The following is a 22,303-nucleotide window of genomic DNA, read 5'->3' as shown; positions in this document are numbered from 1 at the left end:
CAGTGAGCCGAGATCGTGCCACTGCACTCCAGCCTGGGCAACAAACAGAGCGAGGCTCTGTCCCAAAAAAAAAAAAAAAAAAAAAAAAAGATTTCTTTCTAAATAGCATTTTGTCTAATTATTAATTAGATAATCATATAAAATGTACATAATTTGTAAACATAAAAGAAGAAAATAAAAATTCCATAGAACTCCCCAACCAGTGGTAACCACTATTAGCATGCTGGTGTATTTTCTTTGGCTCTGTTTGCTGTGCACCCATGCACGTGTCTGTGTGGGGATTAGTTAACAAAAATGAGGATATTTAGCATGTTTTCTTCCATCCTGCTTTCTTGACTTACTATTACAATGTAAGCATTATTCCTGTGGATCAAATATCCTTTTAAAATATGAAGTTTGAAGGTAATTTTAAAAATTTTAAGTTAGGTTAGGTTTTACATGCCTACAAAGTGGGAGAGACAATCAGGGAAGACTTCATGAAGGAGGTGATACCTTCTGAAGGATGAATAGAGGTCAACTAGATGGAGAAGAGGGGAAATAGGTCTACCAGGCTATGGGCAAAAACTGTATGGGCAAAAACCTGGGGGTAAGAGGAAGCTGGGTGCATCCAAAGCCTGCATGAGGCTTGACGGTGCTAGCCTATTGGTTTGGGGTAGCAGAGGTATATAGTTATTGGAAAGGCTTCAGCCAGATTAAAGAACTTCACTTTTGTCCCAACTGAAGTATTTCATCCAAGAAGGGAAGCCAAGATGGTATGATCATGTCCGAGATATACATTTTAAGATGATCACATTGGTGACAGTATGAGGACAGGGACAGGGGAGGCACAACTGGAGGTAGAGAGAGGATTATAGGTTTGATAGAAAGTCCTGGACCAGTGTTCCCTGACCTTTTGAGTTTAACATCCTAAAAATCCACCCAGCTCTCCTCAGCAGCCCAGAGCCACCTCTGGAATAGTTGCCTGAGCCTCCTTAGCAGTTCTGATGTTCTTAGCTGGTGGACTTCACCTCCAAGCCCCAGAGTGCATGTTAATGAAACCATTAGCAATTGATGGAAATGGTTTTGGAGAACTTGCATCAAGAAATAGGTTCCTCTCTTCTACAGCTGTCCCCTGTGACCTGTAGTTCACAAAACAAAAAATATTCAGAGGAAACAAGATCCTGGGAACCCACAAAATTATAGAACTCAACAGATGGTTTAATTGTAGAGAGCCTGGGTGGGTTGGAGGGTGCTTCCTCACCTAATTATCCCCAGTCTGATGGTCTCGGCATCATGGGGCTGGAACATCCACCAAGATCAGGCCACTTCCACATTTTATACTTGGAAAATCCAAGGCTCTTCAAAGCCTTGCATATGGCCTTTATTTTAAAAATCCTCTTTTTAAAATCAGATCCTCACTTTCCTCTTCTTTTCGTGAAAACCAGTCTCAGGAGTTAGTTGGTCACTCATACCTGCAAATCCTCCTTCTGCCTCTGGCTGCCTGGGCCATCCAAAGAGGATCCTATCTGCCAGCAAATGCTAGTCAATGCTGCAGAGGCAGAAACCTTTGTTTCTTCTTGTAAACATCTGTAGTAATAAGTAGGAAAAAGAAAAGAAATGCAAGAAAATCTGTCTACCTAATTGTTTGGAAGTGGAATGTTTTCCATGAAGCATTAATAATACTGACCTAGCAGTAATTTTTCATTTTCAGCTCTGGTCTAGCTCCTATAACTCCCAGCGAGACAAATGAGGCATGGTGTGCATATACGTGCATGCACACATGATTGTGTTTGTGTACACTCATGACTAAAATCTAGCTCAAAACCATAGTCAGTAATATATCTGTTTGGTCTTGAGCTCCTGAAGCTGTTCATACTGGCTGGAAGGCAGTGTTGCACATAGCTGAAAACACTATGTGGACCTGCATTTGAACTCCAGCTCTGTCTCCTGCGAGCTGTGTGATCTTGGGAAGTTGTATACCTTCTCTGTTTCTTCATCTACAAAGTGGGACTACTGTGATAACTATCTTATAGGGATGTGAGTACTGACTGAGATGATACCTAGCAAACAAAGGCATTAACACGGTGTCCAGCATGCAATGAATGGCAAATGTTATTTCGATTGGAGCTTAACATACAAATGTTAAGCTCATGTATTAAAACATTTCATCCCTGGGAATCCAGGTGGATCTGGGTTCTACCCACAAGAACAAATCAGACCTGATAGAGGCATAGGATAGAGGATAGGACAGTACTCCATAAATCTAAGAGGCCAAGGCAGTCTGCGAGTATGTTGTTAAAATGGAGAGATGTGGCCATAGCCCAATGAAAAGCCAAGTTCTTGGATGAGGGGAAGAGAACACATAATAAGCCAAAGATGCTGGGCAAAGGCGTAAGAGAAGGGTGAGTGGCAGAACTCCAGCAAGAATTGCCAAGAAATAGAGTCAAGTGCAAGGGACACACGAGATCAGGTAGTTCAAGAACTAAGGCCAAGAATGAGGGGGCTGCACCAAGTTGCACTACGTGAACAGCACTGGAGCATCTGTGCACCCATCGCAGGGCTGGGCACACACCTTCCTATGGCTCGGGGAAACAATGCTGAAGATATTACCCAACATATTAACCCCGGGAATGGCAGACCAAACAAAAGCACGCTTTTGCCATTGTCCTTTCCTGGCAGGCTGCGTCTGTGTCAACACATCCAGAGAGGTGTATCGGGTCCTTGTAGACCAATTTGTCCTAGAACAGAGCGGACTCTAACAAAAGCTGTTTGTAGCAGGGCCGGCTGTATTATGCATGACATTCATTTGCTAATTTGCATTTCCTTCACCTCTTAAAAAATGAAAAGCAGCAGCAAATAAATGATGAATGTAAGGGAAATTGAACGCCTAATAAATGAAAAAGCTGCAATGATGAAAGAACTCGGTGCAGTTTGAAAATGAAATGAGTTCTCCTAAAGAGGGTGGGACATGAACTATCTGAGCAAGATAGCCTTATGGTATATGGCTCACACTCTTGATTGGGAGAAGATTCAGGAGGGAATAGCAAGACCCCAGTTCTTCATGCTCTGCACAACCTTAGGCAAGTCACTCCATCTCTCCAAACCTCAATTCTCCTATCTGAAAAACGGACATGATAGTACCTGGCCTGCTTACCTCACAGGGTTCATGGGAGAGCAGCATGAGTAATGTAGATGGGAAAGCTGGAGCTAAACCAAGAACTTACCAATCAATACAAGGGATCATTCTTAGTACAATTCAAGGACTGTCTCCTGAAATCAAAGGGATTTTTTGCCTTTAGAAACAACTTGGGGTGGGAAGAGCACAGTCTTTGAATACAGATCTGAGTTTGAATCCTGAAACTATCATCTTATTAGCTGTATGACATTGAGTAGGCCACTTTAACCTCTCTGAGCCTCAGTTTCCCCATATGCAAAGTGGGAAAAATTGGTACTTGCACCTTCATTACATTGGTCTAAAAGTTAACTAAAATAAACTGTAAGATGGTACCTGAGGCCAGTGTGGTGGCTCATGCTTGTAATCCCCGCACTTTAGGAGCCCACAGCGGTAGGATGACTTGAGGCCAGGAGTTCAAGATCAGCCTAGTCCACATAGCAAGACCCTGTTTCCACAAAAATAAAAAATTAGACGAGCATGGTGGCATACACCTGTAGTCTCAGTTACTTGGGAGGCTGAGGTGGGAGGATAACTTGAGCCTAGGGGTTCGAGGTTGCAGTGAGCTATGATTGTGCCACTGCACTCCAGCCTATGTGACAGTACAAGACCCTGTCTCAAAAATAAATAAATAAGATAAGATGGTAGCTGATCCGTAATAGGTGTTCAACTAAAGCTGGTTTTCACTCTTTCCTGCCCTATTGAACAACAACATGTGTCTTAATTTTGTGGTAACCTAGAACCCACTTCATGAAACTGTAGAGATCAACTGCAAGAAAAAGTTATAATTTTGAGATTTTTCTGAGCTGTGAGAGAACTTAGAAATATTTAGCCCAGGATCTGTCTGTCTCTCTCTGATAGTCAAAGCAGTTTTAATTTACTACAAATACTAAGTCAATTCCTTCTTTGAATATAACTATGCAGCGAATTTGACATCAGGAAAGTAACAAGTAGGCATAAAACATTAAGAATTTGGCCTGCTATCTGCAGGTTTAAAATGGAAATAAAGTATACACATAAATATGTTTTTGCACATAACTGTTTGAAATACATATTCATCAGCATCAAGCCATCTAATGCCGATTACATATAGCTTTAAACTCAGAGGCACAATTTTTGCCTTTAGTCAGAATTTTTCTAAGCCTGTTCCTTAGAGTTGTAGGGTTCCATAGAGGGTCCCTGGGCTCCCTTGGGGGAGATAAGGAAGCCTCAGTGCCCAGGACTCCCCTCCGCACTGTAACCAGGGCATCTTTCATTTGTTTAAAACACTGGGGTTCTATGCAAGGCTTTTCTGTTTAATAAGAATGTTTTCCTATAAAACAAAAATATGGAAATGACCAATGTGGTTCAAACCACTCATCTTACAAATTGAATTAATAAAGCTTATAGGGGAGCAGTGACTTGCCCGAGAACATGGCGCATGGGATAAGCGCGGCAGGACTGGGGGCAGAACTCGCAGCCAAGGCCTCTTCTTGTTCTACTCAGAGGACATTTTTTGAGTGTACAGGTAATGTTTTCTGGGAGCTGGTGGCATGATCTTCCCTGGCCCTGCTGGGCACACATTTACAAGATGGTAGCGAAGTGCTGGGCTGGGCTATGGCCCCACACTAGGAGCAGGCTCCCGGCTGTGGCCTCCAGGGCCACGGGCTGGCCACCCACACCCCAGCTCCTCGAAAAAGGGACATCTCCCTTTGGGTGAGTGTTATGTCAGGACTAACTCAAATAGTTTCAAATCAACACAAGGAAAATGACCAAAATTCTTGAGCACCTATGATGTGCCTGGTAGCTTAAACACAGTATAGTATTACTTTCCTAGGAAGCAAGTATTTATAGCCCCATTTTACAAATAAGGAAACTGAGGCTTAGAGAGAATCAGTTTGCCTAAGATCGACACAGATAGAACTGTCAGAAGCAGGATTACTCCCTAGAAGTGTCTGGCCCCAAGAATCCCTGATTCCCAATGCCCTCTTTGTTTCCTGATCTCCTGGCCTGTGAAGTCAGACCCCATACCTTTGGGATTGGCCCCACTCACTTTTCAGGGACCACCTTCTCCTCCCACCATGATCCCAACTCCCTAGCTAACAGGCCAGTAAGTCCCAAGCCTATGGCACATGAATCCTGAGAGGTGTTCAGCAGCTTCCCCAACCTACAGAGTGAATGGTTTCCCCACCCGCCCTGCCTTTGGTGGAACTAAGGTTTATGCAACCGCTGCAAAAAGTTATGCTTTGGGGCCTGGGAGCTCCAAGAGGCCTCCAGAGTGAGCAGACACCTGCCACATGTGCCCAGAGGGAAGGATAGTTAGAAGGCAGGGCTGCAGCCCTGGCTGAGATTTCGGTCTTGGCGTGAAGGCCATGTTATACCTCCCACCACTGACGTGTTTATTCACTTGGATTCCTAGACAGGACCCTGTCCTGGTCCTTCTTTTGTCTCAGGGCTCACTCCTGCGGAGACTCCTCTTCTCCCCAACCTCCTAGTGTCGGAGGACCTCAGGACTCAGTCCTCAGTTCCCTTCTTTCTCTACCCTCGCTCCCTTGCTCATCTCCTCCAGTCCCATGGCTGTAAGTACTGTCTCCATGCCTATGCTCCACTATTAAAATCTCCAGCCCAGCCTTTCCTCCCAAACCCTGGGCTCTTCTCCCCAGCTACCTACTCAACATCTCCATGTGGATGTTTAGACATCTCACCACGCCCCCATTTCTAAAACTGAGCTCCTGTTCTTACTCCCGAAACCTATTCCACCCACAGTCTTCTGTATCTCGGTGAGGACACCTTCATCCTTCCAGTTGTTCAAGTGAAAAATCTTGTGGCCAGTCTTCACCCTTCTCTTTCTCTCTCACCCCACCTCCAGTCTGTCAGAAAATCCTATTGGCCTTACCTTTCAAATATGTTGAGAAACCAGCCATGTCTCACAGCCTGCACTGTTCCCATCCCATCTAAACCATCACTATGCATTACCTGGATGACTCCAGAAGCCCCCTAGCAGGACTTTCTACATCTACCCTTTCTCCTGTAGGAGGCTGGGTCATGGACCCCAAAAATACCAAGTACCAACCCCAGGAAGCTGTAAATGTTGCCTTGCTTGGAAAAAAAGACTCTTTGCAGGAATGATTAAGTCAAGGAACTTGAGATGGACAAACCATGTAGGATTATCCAGGTAGGCCCTAAATATCACCATGAATGTTTCTATCAGCAGCAGAGGGGGAACTGACACATACAGAGAGGAGGAGAATGTGACCACGGAGATAGAGATTGATGAGAGTGATGTGGCCTCAAGCCAAGAATGCTGGAGCCACCGGAGGCTGGAAGAGGCAAGGAACAGATTCTCCTTTGGAGCCTCCAGAGGGTGTGTGGACCTGCTGACACAATGGTTCCAGCTCAGTGAAACAAATTCTGGATCTGTGGCCTCTAGAACTTTGAGAGAATAAATTCCTGTTGTTTTCAGCCATCCAGTTTATAGTAATTTGTTACAGCAGCCACAGGAAACTAATGCACTCCCCTACAGTCTAGTCTTACTGCATTATTTTAAACATCCATAAGATCACATTAATCATTTGTTCAAAAACACCCAGTGGCTGCCTCTCTCATTCAACGAAAAGCTGCAGGCATCTCAGTGGCTAAATGCTCTTGCCCACATTACTACCCTGATCTATTTCACTATCACGTACTCAGCCACTCCACCTACACTGGCCTTCTCACTGTTCCTTGAACAGGCCAGGCGTACACCTACCTCAGGGCCTTTGCATTTGCTGGTCCCTCTGCCTGGAATGTTCTTTCGTGAGATAGCCACAAGGTTCTCTCCTTCACCACTTTGCAGTCTTGAAAGTTGAGAGTCAAGTCCAATCTCACCTTCTCAGTGAGACCAAGCATGACCAACCCAGTTTCAGCTGCAAACCACACCCCCTCTTCCCCTGGCATCCCCATTCTACTCATCTACCTCTGCTATTTCATAGTCTTCTATCACCTTCGAACATGCTATATTGTGTTCGAATATATATCAAATATATTCTGTTTTATTATGTTCATTGTTTTCTGGCTGTCCCGTACATACACATATACTTCAGAGTCTAAGCTCCCTGAGACACAAAGACCTCTGTCTCTTGTGCCCACTGATTTATTCCAAGTACCTAAAGCAGCACCTGGCACAGAGGAGATGCTCAGAAAAATGAGTGCATGCATGAGCTATAAAACCAAAACTTACCCGCCTTTGTTCTTAGGGAAGACTCGCCCTCCTGTCCTTACACAACCACTGAGGAACCTACTCTTGGCTTAGCCAACTGACTCCTGCTCCAGGAAGCTCCTTCTGCTGGGTCAGTTCTCTACTGGCCTCCTGGCTGAGAGTAGACACGGGTAGACTCTCTCTACCTTGATTTTCTGAAAGCTACCTTGTTCTCTTTGTCCATTGTCTCTGTTCCCTGGAAACGCTTCCTCCAAAAATACTGGTAGGTTCAAAACTAGAGACGATTTTAGGTGGTTTTCTTTTTTTTTCTTTTTGGATTCACAAAGTTTCATGAAAACCAAATAAACTTAGAAAAGAGATCCGAAGGAGAGCTGAAGAGCTGCCAGATGGACACCTAAGATCTCTCAGGCCCTCAACATTTGTATTTGAAACCACACCTCACTTTGTATCAAACACACTAAAAAGAACTTATTTCACGAAATATATAATTTTTTGTTGTAAAATACTTTGAAAGGATTTTAAAATCCTGCCTTTGCGGTTATTTGACTAGAAATTGGCTCACCACCTAACTCACCACTGGCTATGATTTCTGAACACCCACCCCATGTACTCTGGAATTCTTGCAAAGTGAGGAGAATGTGGCTCACACATTATTTTCAAATGTAATGAAACCTTAATAAACGCTCTATCGAACAATGAATGAAGGTGCTATGGCAAGAAGTTGACATGTGGTGGAAATGTAGATAAACATTTATTCATTTCATTCCTGCCCTTTTCTTTTTGTATTTTGGAGCTAACTACATCTTTTTTCAAATCCAATTTTCTTCTTGTTGTTGGCTCTTAAAAACCTCCTAGGTCCTAGGGCCTTTGTCAGTGGTGGCTGATGGACAAACTGGCTGTGCTGGGGAACCCTCAATGAGAATCAGAAAGGCTGGGGGCAACCACCGACTCACTGTGTGAGCTTGAGCAAGTCCCTAATGCACTCTAAGCCTGAGCTTCCCTCTCCCTGAAATTGGGATTATGGCTCTGCTTCTATGTGACTATAGGAATCAAATGGGATAACGTATGTCAAAAGTGCTTTGTAAACAGTAAGGCACTATGCACTTGCTCATTTAGGCAATTGTTTTTATCAGCCTTGCTGGCTGAATTCACTTGCACTTAGCTCAGGAGGGATTCCTTATTTCCTCCTGAGCAGGGGTGAACCCCGCCGCGCCCTTGCAAGGCTCTCTGGCACAGCGCCTATTTGCCCAGAAGTTCCCCGACCCCATTCTTTCTACTGATCTGGCTGCCAGGCCTACCTGGGCTTTATTAAAGTTGCCCTACTGCACTGAAGTTCGTTTTAAATACAAGAAGGGGATGAAGGGGTCAGCATTTATGGAGAGCACAGTGTGTTAGGCGCTCTTTACACATGGCGTTTCATCCTTAGGGAAGCCTGTCATCCCAGAAGTGTTCTGTTTCTCTCCCTGCCTGCGCCCTCTCTGCAAACAGCAACTCCATCTGCCCCATACCTTGAGCCAGGAACCTGGGAGTCGCTCTTTATTTCTCCCTCTCCCTTCCCCCCACCACCACATCTTATCCCCCAGCCAATTAGGCCAACTCCACCATCAATATCTATTCTGAACCCACAGACCTAGCTCCATCATGACTGCTACTTGACTTCTTGCCTGGATGGTACACCTCCAAACCAGCATTTCTAAATTCACAGGGTTTCCTGTGTTTCATCTTCTACCAGGAATCCACAGTGACTTTTTTTTTTTTTTAAGTAGAGGTAGGGAGGGTCTCACTATGTTGCCCAGACAGTTGAACTCCTGGCCTCAAGCAATTCTCCTGTCTTGGCCTCCCAAAGTGCTGGGATTACAGACATGAACTATTGTGCCTGGCCCAGAGTGCTTTTAAAATTGGTAAATCAGTTCACTCTCTGCCTTCCTCCATTAGTGCTTCCTCCCAAACCCCTTATGGGGCCTGCACACTCTGGCATCTGCCTTAGCCTATGGCCTCATCTCTCACTCTCAGTGCTCCTGGCACTTGACCTCCTCCCAGTTTCTTGAGGAGCCCACCAGGCTCTTTGCCCCTTTTTTCATGTTACCCTCTGATGCTCTTCCAGCTCCTCACATAGAGGACCCCAGCTCAGCAGCCACTGCCTCAAGGAGGACCCCCAGATCTCTAAGGCATATCAGTTCCTGTCATTCCTGAACATCATTCCTGAGCTTCCTTCATAGCTCTGTACAGAATTTGCAACCCACATTTTAGTTTATTTGTGCATTGTCTGCCTCTTCATAGTCAGTAATTCCAACAGGCCATGGACTTTGTGTGCTCAGCCCTCATAGACAGCCAGCACAGTGCCCGGGGCTCAGTGGATGCTCAGCAAACAGCTGTTGAATGAATGAAAATTCCATATTGACTCAAGATGGGAGAGCAGATGTTTAACCCAAAGATGAGCTGAAATTCCAGCCCCTTTAGGATCCTAGCAGCCTCCTCTGGACTCCCCAAGCACCTGTTCCTATTTCCGTAATAGCTCCTACTGCACTTTAATTGATCTTTTCCTCATCTCTTCCATTCCATTATGAGTTTCTCAAAGACAGCAGCCATGTCCCTGTGAAAATGTGTTTAAGGAGTAACTAGAACTATGATGAGCAGTCCCAGGAGCCATGGCCACTAGGGAGTCTTTATAATGCATGTGATGGTTGTCATACAGTTATAATGATGATGTTATGATCTATATTAGTATAATTATTATGTGATCGTTATTACAGAATAGACTATGTTAATGCTAAAAACACCCCCACGTGACCCAGTTTAACGCTTTTGTTATGTGGATGAGACCAAGAGTGCTGAGAGGAGGGTCTTACCCAAGATCACACAGTGGCAGACCCAAGAGCAGAACTCAGAGCTACTCACTCCCTATCCTGTTCCTCTTACTCCCAACATGTGCCACCTTGTTTTAACAGGTGCGTGGGGAGTTTCATTCCTCTGCATTCTCGCCTGAGCAGAGATGCTGAACGAGTGAAAAAGGCAGGGTTAGTGGTCAGACCACGCCTTGTCCTCAATGCTGAAGGCTGTGTGTTGAAAGCACAAGACCCTATATGCAAGGATCCTCTAAGAGCCAAGGGTCTCGTGGTGGGGCAAGGTGTGGCCAGGACAAGCCACTCTTAGGGAATGACAGCTGCTGAGTGGGAGCATAGATTCTCGTGGTAAAGTAGATTATCCTGCCTTTGTTACCAAAGCTGATTGTGTGTGAGCTTTGTGTCTGCGTAAACATTTTAGTCAAACATCTGCATGGAAAATAGAAATCATGAAAGTTATATCTAATGCATATTATTCTAGGCACTTTGCTAAGCATTTTATGTGTTGGCTCACGTAAACAGTGATCTGATTAATTCGACCAAAAAGATCACCAAATGATGTAAATCAGGATTTCACGCACTTCCTAGAGGCCTCATTTTCCAGTCCGGTTGTCTACATGGTTTTCTCCAGTCAATGGATGATCACCTAACCTGCCTTTCCAATGTAAATAGCAGGCAAATACACAGTTGTCTCCAAATACTGCCAATGCAAAGTGTTTCAGATGGGGACATATCTTGAAGTATTTGACCTCATCTAATCTAACAGGATCACTTAGCATGTCCCTACACTTCCTTAGGCTGTCTCCATAGGAAAGGTTATGCAAAGAATGAAAGAATAGAAAACCTTATCAGTTTAATTCCCTCAGCACCACAGTTAGCCTAGCGATGTGCATTTGTTGCTATCTCATGAGCATATAGAAGCGGGCTGGGGGACAAGGGGTTTCTGGGAGATTGAATTCATCCCAGGATTGAAAAAGGGAAAACAGAGGCCCAGAGAGGTCAAGTGACTTGCCCAAGGTCACACAGCCAATTTGTGGCAAAGCCAAACTAGCACTTGCTTTTCCCAACTCCCGGTTAGATTGTCCTTCTTTCAGAGGATTAAAAATGATCAGGGAAAAGCTGGAAATGGGTATATGGAATTCTTCATGCAATTCTCTCTACTTGTACTTGTTTGAAATTTTTCATACTAAAAAGTATTTTTAAGTGAAAAAAAGCCCTAGAAGAGTATTTGATCATAGCAAGAATGGGTCCTGTTTTTATATTCACGTCTTCAAAGAAGATGTGTTTAAATCTTCCCGGAGGGATCGTTCCTGTATGTTGAATTCCCTCAACATCACACACAGTCTATTCCACACACAATTACTGATGGCGAAACAGGCTTGGATTTTTTTTCCTTCTGTCTACCAGCCAGAACACAAGATTTCCCTTCTTTGAAGCTCCAAGTTCCCCTGGGAACCGGCCTCAGGTTTCCTCTCTACCCACATTTCCCCATCTCCTACCCATCATACCCTGGCAGCCATGGTGCCCCCAACTTCATTCACCCACAGACCACCTCAGGGTTTTTGCCATTGCCAAGTACTGCAGTCCTACGATTTACTAAATATTTTCCTTTGAGCTGACTCATTTTGTTTACTTCAATCTATTTTCAGAGAAAACTGCATGTCATTGCTATTGATGGAAGATCAGTCATATTATCTGTGAAATCTGGGTTTGATGTACTAGTTACACTTATTCTAATAATCATTATGAAATGCATAGTTATTAAGAAAACATTGTGTCCATCAATGTACAACTTCATCCTCTAAGAAACTCTGTCATCAGCTGCTGGTTTCCTGGGAAGAGCCCTGCATGGTATCTCTGCCTCAAATGCAGGGGTGTGTGAGTGTGGAAGATGTGTGCACACACATGTGGGTTTTCATCAGTGGATCATGTCCATCTGGCCACGGCAACAGAAATGGCATGTGCTTCTGATTTCTGCCAGGTGCTCCAGTGAGCTGGGCTGGTGTGCAGGAGTGAGGGTGTGGCTTGCAGGTAAACCAAGCAGGCAGTCCAGCAATCACCTCTCGATCCAGATCTCTTACTCCCTGCCCACCTTCCCTGCACAACAACCCCCACAAAATAAGCAAAGTGCCCTGGAAAGAACCTTAACCACCATTGATGGAAACAGAAATAGGTGAAGTGTAAGGAGGACTGAGAAGGTATGGGCCTCAGCAAGAAAAATAGGTGTTTTATGGAGGCGATTATACACTAAAGTGGAATTTGTAAATTGAAAACTCCCGGACGTCTCGGGATTACTCTCATGAATGTCAAGGGCTTAAGGCTCTTATGTTTATCGAGAGGCAGCGAGGAGTGCTAGGATGTACTTGGCTGTGGAACCACACAGACTGGGTTTAAATCCTATTTAAGTCATCCTGAGAAGTTGTTTAAGTCCTTGGAGCCTCATTTTCTTTATCTGTGAAATGGGGATAATAATATCCTCTATCCAGGGTTGCATTGAAGATTAACTAGGAAAGAACTGGTCATAGTGCTGGGCTATAAAACACAGGCAGTTGTGATTTTCCTAAATTTCTGAAAGATCATGGAAGACTTTCTGATTCATTGAAGAGAGAATAAATCTTTTTTTTTTTTTTTTTGACGGAGTCTCGCTCTGTCCCCAGGCTGAAGTGCAGTGGCGAGATCTCGGCTCACTGCAAGCTCCGCCTCCCAGGTTCATGCCATTCTCCTGCCTCAGCCTCCCGAGTAGCTGGGACTACAGGCGCCCACCACCATGCCTGGCTAATTTTTGTATTTTTAGTAGAGACGGGGTTTCACCGTGTTAGCCAGGATGGTCTCGATCTCCCGACCTCGTGATCTGCCTGCCTCGGCCTCCCAAAGTGCTGGGATTACAGGCGTGAGCCACTGCACCTGGCCAGAATAAATCCTATTTTGTGTAGGTTCGGAGTTAAAGTGGAGAATACTTATTACTGTACTCCAGTGTTTTGAGATTGGGTTTTCCATTTATATATAGCAAATCTCAACTAGAATATTGATTTAAGTGGATCCCTCCACGATTGCCTGCTGGCATCATGAAGGTGTTCCAGTACGCTGCCTTAGAATTGCCAGGTGCATCTTGTGGCTTGGCTGTGTCTCCCCAGCTTGGTTGTGAAGCCCAGGAGGACAGGGGCCATGCATTCCTTAGATATCTCCACTGGCAGAGGCACAATCTGTGTGCATGGTGGGCTCATAGAGCATGTGTCCTGGGTAGAATCCAGTGGAATTAGGCCACAGGATTGTTACAGTCTTCAAGAATGTCCCATAAATACAGTCCTCTTTCCTGCCCAGGTTTGGAACCATTTGAAAAACAAGAAAAGATAAAATGGGATATAGGCCAAAATGTTATCTTTATGACTAATAAGGTCTCTATGAGGCATGGTTTGTATCTATGAGGAAATGATCTTCCTAACCTAATAGTGAATGCCAGAATTCTGTGGACTCCCCCTGCAATCATAGGCAGCACAGGGCTGGAACAGCCCTCCCCATGTGGTGAGAGCAGAGAAGGAAGGGGGTTGAGGAGAAAAGCTGAATATTGCATGAATGGAACTCCCACCACGTGAATGAAATAGCAAAGGAATAGAGGTAGCATCTCCTTCTCTAGAGTCAGCTTACTTATTGGTTTGCTTGTGTTTTCCTGGATCTACCTCTGTTCAAGAACCAATATCCTGTAAGTCTTAATAAAGTACCCAATACTCAGTTAACCCATTCATAAAACAGGGTGGCATTTAAGAGAAACAATGTGGTTTGATTCTGAAGAAACTGGAATGAAGGAGACATGGGTTTAATACAGTTCTGCCCCTGACTAGCTGTGTGACCATGAACGCTGCTTTCATGCTGCCTGGGCTTCAGTGTCCTGATCTATGAAAGGTGATCTATGATTTTTATGTTACAGGGTAGGTCTGGGTGATAAGTGAGATAATGTACATGCCAATGCCTCATTTGTAGTATGTAATAGGCACTCCATAAACGGTAAAATTCTCTGAAGAGCTAAAAACACCAGATATTGGCATGCCACGATCCTGCCTTTGAGGTGTTTTTTTGTTTGTTTGTTTGCTTTGCTTTGCTTGGAAGGGCTGGCTATGGAGAGGACAGGGAATAGGTCCCTAAGAGCATCTTGATTTATGGAGGAAGACACCCAGAGGGAGTGGAGCAAGAACCAGCAGGGCACGGACCCCGCAGGATTGGGAGATGGGAGACCCACCCTACCTTCCAATGCTACAGCTCCTTCCCGCTCCTGGCTGCCTGGGGTAGGGATGCTGACAGCCTCTCGTTGCCTGTTATGGCCCCACAGGCAGATCAGGTGGGGAATCTAATTAAATGGCAAACTCTCATCCAGACAAAGAACTCCACGTCTGAGCTGCACAGTGCCTGGCAGGGTCCCTGGAGATGAGGCCAATATTTGCTTTCTGACCAGTTGCCTAGCATCCAAGCATCTCCCATCTCTCTGGCAGGCCGCTTTCTTAGAGAAGCTTTTCTCTATCCAACCTCAACAAAAGGCAGCCACTGGCTGGAGGGTCTGGAAGGAGGAGCATTAGCAATTTCAGGCTTGAAAGAACTCCTCTGGAATGAGCTGAGATCCAAAAAAAAACCTGTAGGTTCACACAGGTCTGATGTGTGAAGCTGCTCTGGCCTGGGACCTCCATCTTGGGAATGAAGTAGGGGAGGCAGTGTTTTGTGATAGCCATCTGTGCTCCACCAAAACAACTTGGGAGCATCCCTCACTCTGTAGACTCAGGTCAGGGCAGGGATGGGACCAGCACTCATAAGCCCAAAGCATCCAGATCAACTATCTTAGGCTGTGTCCATTTGGGAAGGTTTTTGGCTCCTGGGTTGAAGACTCATCCAACAAACCTTTACTGTGTACCTACTATGTGCCAGATTTAGATTTCACTTTTATCCTACAGTCTAGTAGGATTGACAGGCAAGTCAACTGGCAGATACAGAACAATGCTGTGCTGCAGCAGCGTGGGGGGAAGTAAGGATAAGGGAGGCCTAACCTAGTCTTGGGAAGTCAGGGCAGGCTTCCTGGAGGAAGGAACATTTAAGAACAGCATGTGCAAAGGCCTGGAGTCTAGAAAGAAGAAAACTTATGGAGGGAGCAAGCACAGTGCTGACTGTAAGTAGACACTGAATACCACCCAATATTTGAATTTGGGATGGTTTGCAAATGTCTCTATGGCTCTCCCCAGATCTCAGCAAACCTTCTTCTAAATTTGTAATCACTTTTGTGTGGGGGGCAGGGTGGGAAGGCTAATAACACTCACTGAGCACCCAGGCCAATTACCCTGTATGATCTTAAGAATCCTCATTTATTTATTCATTCATTTGACAAACAGTTATTGAACTCTTACTGTGTGCCAGTATTCTAGGCATCAGAGTGTATAGCAGAAAGCAAAAGAGACAAAAAACAAATTCTCTGTCCTGCAGAGTTTTCACTTAAGCCATAAGGAGTATAAGGGTAAACAAATATATAAGTGAAACATACAGACTATCAGATGGAATCAGTGTTATGTAGAAAACAAACGCAGGAAATGGGAGCAGGGATTTCTGGGGCCGGGGGATTACAATTTTAATCAGGGCTCTTAGGAGAGGGTTCATATTTGAGCAAAGACTTTTTTTTTTTGAGACGGAGTCTCACTCTGTTGCCCAGGCTGGAGTGCAGTGGTGCGATCTTGGCTGACTGCAACCTCCGCCTCCCGGGTTCAAGCAATTATCTTGCCTCAGCCTCCTGAGTAGCTGGGATTACAGGCGCATGCCACCACGCCCAGCTAATTTTTGTATTTTTAGTAGAGACGGGGTTTCACATGTTTGTCAGTGTGGTCTTCAACTCCTGACCTTGTGATCCGCCTGCCTCGGCCTCCCAAAGTGCTGGGACTAAGACTTTTTGTTTGTTTGTTTGTTTGTTTTTTTGAGACAGAGTCTCTCTCTGTCATTCAGGCTGGAGTACAGTGGTGCAATCTTGGCTCGCTGCAACCTCCGCCTCCCAGGTTCAAATGATTTTCCATCCTCAGCCTCCTGAGTAGCTAAGATTACAGGCACGCACCACCATGCCTGGCTAATTTTTGTATTTTCAGTGGAGGTGGGGTTTCACCATGTTGGCCAGGCTAGTCTCAAACTCCTGATCTCAAGTGATTACAGGCATGAGCTACCGCTCCCGGCCGAGCAAAGACTTTAATAAAGGGAATTAGTGAGCCTTGTGGATATTGGTTGGGGGAGCCGTGTTGGGGAAAACATTCCAGGCAGAGGGAACAGCAAACGCAAAGGCCCTGAGGCAGGAGTGGGCCCGGTGTGTTCAGCAACAACAGGGAAGAGAGTCTGGCCAGAGCTGACAGGGCAGGAGATGGAAAAGGAGGTGAGGTCAAATCTCACAGAGATGGCAGGCCGTTGTAGGCATGCAGCTTTACTAGGCATGAAATGGGAGACATCTGGCAAGTTTTGAGCCAAGCAGCAGCGTGTTGCCTTTGCTGGCTCTAATGTCAAGAATAGCCCAGAGGGCAGCAACAGAGGAAGCAGGAGACCAGTAAGGAAGCAGCTCCCTGCAGCCAAAGCCTCAACATTGCTCTGGGCCACACTGCCAGCCTCCCTGGAGTCCCAGAGCCTCCTCGTCTCTCCGGGTGAGTGAATCCAAGGAGCAGCCTCGTAGTCCAAAAATCTTGCAGTGCCGTCGTGCAGCTCTCACAGGGTTTCTCCAGCACAGCCTCTGCGATTTCACCTGTGGGATCCTTCACCAGCACGTGACTTCAGGCCCGAGTGGTAATGAAATCAGGTAGAGAAATGGTGCTTTCAACAAAAATAAAAACAAAACCTGTGACCATGAAAACAACAGCCGCCTTTATTACATTGCTGAGTGGCTCTAGCTTCGGAACCACACAGGCCTACCGGGTTTGAATCCTGTTTCGTCGTTTGTAAAATGAGTTAACAATAGCTCCCAGTTCCATGGGAAGGATTTAGTGAGATAGTGTATGAGAAGTCCTTGACCACAGTGTGAGGCACAGGAAAAGTTCTCGTTGGTGGTTAGTGAGAGATGGAGCAAGAGTGATGGCTACATAGAAGACTGAGACTCCCAGAAGGCGTGGACTTACCCCAGCCATGTCAGTTAGCATTAGCAATAGCAACACCAAAGGATGGGCTGAGACTAATAGTGCAGTATCCACCCTGTGCCACTTGCATACCTCGTTTAATCCTGCCTCAACCCTGCCACATAGATACATTGCATTTATTGTAGAGATATGAAAACTGAAGCTCAAAGCAAAGAACTTGCCCAGAGTCAAACATCTACTAAGGCCGGGCGCGGTGGCTCACACCTGTAATCCCAGCACTTTGGGAGGCCGAGGTCGGGAGTTCGAGACCAGCCTGACCAACATGGAGAAACCCCATCTCTACTAAAAACACAAAATCACCTGAGTGTTGTGGTGTATGCCTGTAATCCCAGCTACTTGGGAAGCTGAGGCAGGAGAATCACTTGAACCCAGGAGGCGGAAGTTGCGGTGAGCTGAGATCATGCCATTGCACTCCAGCCTGGGCAACAAGAGCACAACTCCGTATTAAAAAAAAAAAAAAACTACTAAGTGGGAATGTCAGGTCTACCTAATTGCAGAGACCAATACCTTCTCCCACCACAAACCCTGCTGTGGCCTCCATTCTGCAGCCTCAGGCCCAGCCCTAGATGGCACTCATTCTGTGCCTCACTAACATCCACTTGGGACTTTTTTGGAAGCCAACAATAACTTCTTCTGGCTCTGATGGTGCTCTGTGGCCTGCCCGGATGATGGACTTCTCAGCAGCACTGTCCTCAGCATGACTATGAACTCTTCATGTCCCTGTATCAAAATGGGATTACAGGTACACACCACCACACACTCACATGTCCCTGCATCATGTCCTTGGCATGCCAGTGAACCCTTCATCTCCTGTCTTAGGGCTGCTATAATAAATTACCACAAAACATGTGGCTTCAAACAACAGAAATTTATTGTCTCACATTTTGGTGCCAGGAGTCCAAAATCGAGGTGTTGGCAGACTCATGCTTCCTCTGAGGGCTCTAAGGAAGATTTCCAGCTTCTGGTGGCTGCAGGAGTTCCTTGAGTTGTACAAGGCAGTATAACTGCAATTTCTCCCTCCATTGACACGTGGCCCATTTCTCTCTGTGTCCAAATATCCCTCTGTTTTCTCTTATAAAGATACCCATCATTGAATTTAGAGCCCACTCTAAATCCAGGATGATTTTGTCTCAAAATCCTCAACTAATTACATCTCTAAAGACCCTATTTTCAAGCCAGGCATGGTGGCATGCACCTGTAATCCCAGCACTTTGGGAGGCTGAGGCAGGCGGATCACTTGGGCCCAGGTGTTCAAGATCAACCTGGGCAACATAGCAAGACCTCATGCCTACAAAAACAAAAATTAGCTGGGTGTAGTAGCGTGCACCTGTAGTCTAAGCTACTTGGAAGGCTGAGGCTAGTGGATAACTTGAGCCCAGGAGTTCAAGGTTGTGAGCTGTGGTTGTGCCACTGCACTCCAGCCTGGGCAACACAGAGGAAGATGCTATTCCAAAAAAAATAAATAAATAAAAGAGAGAGACCCTAATTTTAAATAGGGTCACATTTCAAGGTTCCAGGTGGACATGAATTTTGAAGAGACACCATTGAACTCACTACAGCCGACCCTTTTGCCTACCAAAATTTCACATCCTTCCTTCATGCAAAATACATTCACCCCATACTAACATCCCCAGAAGTCTTAACCCATTCTAGCACCCATCACCTCTAAGTCTAAAATCTTGTCTAAATATCATCAACTCCCTGTAATCCCAGCACTCTGGGAGGCCGAGGCAGGCAGATCATGTGGTCAAGAGATCAAGACCATCCTGGCCAACGTGGTGAAACCCTGTCTCTACTAAAAATAAAAAGATTAGCTGGGTGTGATGGTGCACGCCTGTAGTTCCAGCTACTCGGGAGGCTGAGGCAGGAGAATCGCTTGAACCCGGGAGGAGGAGGTCGCAGTGAGCTGAGATTGCACCATTGCACTCCAGCCTGGGCAACAAGAGTGAAACTCTGTCTCAAAAAAAATAATAATAATAATGATATATCATCAGCTCAAAAAGCCCCAAATCTCATCACTGAATGAATGAGTTATGGGTGTGACTCTGGGTCTGATCCATCCTGGGGCAAAATTCATCTTAATCTGGCACCAAAGAAGAGTTCAGGGCTGCCTCCATGGAGGCCAAGGCTGGGCCTGTCCAGGGCAGGTTCCTTCTGCAAAGACGTAGACAGGGCAGCACAGAGGGCTCCTCTGAACACTCACTGAGAAGCCCGGCTGGTATCTGTTACCTGAGGGAGCTGAGCTATGGTTACCCACGGGCTTTCCTAGTCTGCATGTCACTCCTCCCATAACCACTTATGTTTAAATAATTTGTACTTATACTGTGACTCATTACAAAAATGATTTGAGGTGGAATTAGAGCAGGGACTCTCAGAGCTGGAAGGCACCAATTCCCAGCCCATGCATGACTCATCCTGGCTCAGCTCTCCTCTGGCCTGGTCTAGAACACTGCCAGCACCAGAGAACTCCCTCCCACGTCAGCCCCACAGGGAGGGAGGCCAGGAGTGGAGCCCTGTGTGTGGGTTGCCCCTGTTAAAATGGACTACCTGATCCTGGGAAGGGGGAGGGAGAAGGTGCACACTGACCTAGTTTGGTTTTGCTTTTGTATATGGTTATTCCTATGACTGAAGATGTATGAGCCACTGTGGCTGCCTGCATCTCTGGCTGTGTGTGTCTTATGTCTCATGCCCCAGGGTCCAGCAGTGAACCTTGCTTTCCAGAACAGAGGGCTATAGGCAAGTGCAATGGAGAAGAAGTAAAATGGGACCAGAGCCACATGCCTGTGGGAGAGAGGGAGCGAAGGAAGCAGGAGAAGACCAGAAAGGATGCAGCCGCAGTTTTGTGTCTGGCCTCAGCCAGATCCCACAGGGGAACTCACAGAGGAACTCAGGGGCACGCATAGTGTTATGGTCTGAATGTTTGTTGTCCCCCTCCCCAAGATGTATATGTTGAAATCCTAACCCCTAATGTGATGGCATTGGGAGGTGGAAGATTTTGGGAGGTGATTAGGTCGTGGGGTGGAGCCCTCACAACTAGGATTATTACCTTTATAAAAGAGACACCAGAGAGTTCCTTTTCCCATTTACACCATGTGAGGATACAGCAAGAAGATGCCATTTAGGAAATGGGAAGCAGTCCCTCTTCCAACCTGCTGGTGCCTTGATCTTGGACTTCCCAACCTTCAGAACTGTGGGCAGTAAATGTTTGTTGTTTAAGCCACACAGTCTAAGGTGCTTTTGTTATTGCAGCCTGAACGAACTGCAAGACAATTAGCATCCAAGACTGGATCCCTCCTCATACCCTGGAGATGAAGGAGATGAGTGCCTGTGGGCAGAGAAGAGGGCCACTCTGAAACCACTCACCTCCCACCACAGGGTCTGCCGCTGCACTTCCACACATCACCCACAAGCCACCATGCCAGCCTACCACCAAGCCGGACTCTGCAGGGGCCCAGCCAGGGCCACATATCCACGGCTTTTCCTAAGGCACAGAGAAGCTGAGAAACCTAGTAAGAGCCTCTGGGGTCCCCACTTTTAGTAAATTACAAGGAGGTGTTCAGCCTGCCCTGAACCTCATAAAAGATGGATGGTGTAGTTATATAACATCCATGGCTTTTTACGAACTTCACCTTTCCTTTAAAAAGCTGCTAACTTCAAAGAAAAAAAATCGCTCCAGGCATTCTGGTGGTTGTAATAAAATGCATTCCCCAGGAACATGGGTTGTCTCAGCCTTAGAGAAGAAGACAGGGTGGCCATGTGGGTGCCCACGTGCCTACTTCCTTGTGGGTGACAGGTTTTATCTCCCTGCAACTGATTTATGCTGAGGACTGACAGCCTGTGGCCATGACCTACTTTCCCTTTTACAATACAGCATCCAGGGCTCAGCAGGGCTGTCCCGCCTAAAGAAAACCAAGAGTACAGAAGCAGCACTTGGTAAGCGTGTGCACCGGAGGTTTCTCTTGACAATCTGCTTCATAAAATAAAATAAGTGTGTGTATCTGTGTGTGTGTCTGTTTATGTGTCTGTGTGTGTGTTTTCTGTAGAACGAGGGATTCTTTTTAAAGAGCTAGCACCTCAAGTCATCTGACATTGGAATTTGAGACCTTCTAATCATTATTGTGAAAGCAACGTCAGCCTACACAGCATGTGTGGCCTACATCCACCCAGCCTGATGCCGTTCAGAAAAAAAAAAACCAGTTGAAAGGCAGATGTGGAGACTTTTGTGTACAGAATACCTGAATGGCTGCTTATGCCATGTGTGTGTGTGTGTGTGTGTGTGTGTGTGTGTGTGTGTGTGTGAATTTCCAATTCCGTAACCTCAAGTGTCATTTCAGTTTTTAAATTCTGGAAAGAGTTCGTGTGTATGTGAATTGTGTCAGATAGTAGAATTCAACTCAGGAGAGAGTGACACACACGGTGGTGTAGTGTGTGAGTTTTCTGCTGCTAGAGGGAAAACCTCCTAGCGCATGAGGGCACTGTCGCACAGCCAGGCAGTGTGGGGGTTGGGAAAAGAGGATTTGGGATTTAGGTGGAGCCTCAACATAGGCTTTGGCTCAAGATGTCAAATCCTAGTATGTTAGAAGGGAGCTTTGGGAATCATCTAGTGTAGCTGTCTTCAACTGATGAAGTTGATGGCTTACCCAGACCGCTGAGGGTATATGAGGAATTTCCAAGGGGTGCACAGGCACAGAAAGTGGTAAAAGAATCCATTCCCAGACTGTCAGTTTCCACGTGGTCTCCAGGGCACGTAGCTGGAGTCTGCCAGGACAGGCCTTCTCAGGTCTCCCTTCCAAAGCCCCCTTCCCCCACTTCACAAGTGAAAGACAGGCCTCACTCCCTCTAGGGGACATTGCCCTGAGGGGTGGGCATCTCTTGGTGCCCACCAAAGGGGCCATACAAGAATGCATCGCTCCAGAGGAAGAAGACCCCCAGGACAAAGCACAATACAAGCACCACTGAAGAGGGCAGCCAGGTGCCAAGGACTCTGCATTACCTGTGT

General features: G+C 46.0%; 1 protein-coding gene and 1 long non-coding RNA gene across 3 annotated transcripts in view; both read left to right on the top strand.

Moving 5' to 3' along the window:
- The window catches only part of ASIC2 (acid sensing ion channel subunit 2), a 1,143,682-nt gene that overhangs the window by 901,651 nt on the left and 219,728 nt on the right, over positions 1-22,303 (top strand). The window lies entirely within an intron of this gene.
- On the top strand, positions 19,221-21,301 carry LOC124903985 (uncharacterized). The gene is made up of 2 exons (XR_007065721.1): positions 19,221-20,813; positions 21,176-21,301. It is a non-coding gene; the product is annotated as an uncharacterized LOC124903985 (long non-coding RNA).

The sequence above is a fragment of the Homo sapiens genome, chromosome 17, assembly GCF_000001405.40.
Source record: "Homo sapiens chromosome 17, GRCh38.p14 Primary Assembly".
Taxonomy (NCBI): domain Eukaryota; kingdom Metazoa; phylum Chordata; class Mammalia; order Primates; family Hominidae; genus Homo; species Homo sapiens.
This window is presented reverse-complemented; position numbering and strand designations above follow the sequence as displayed.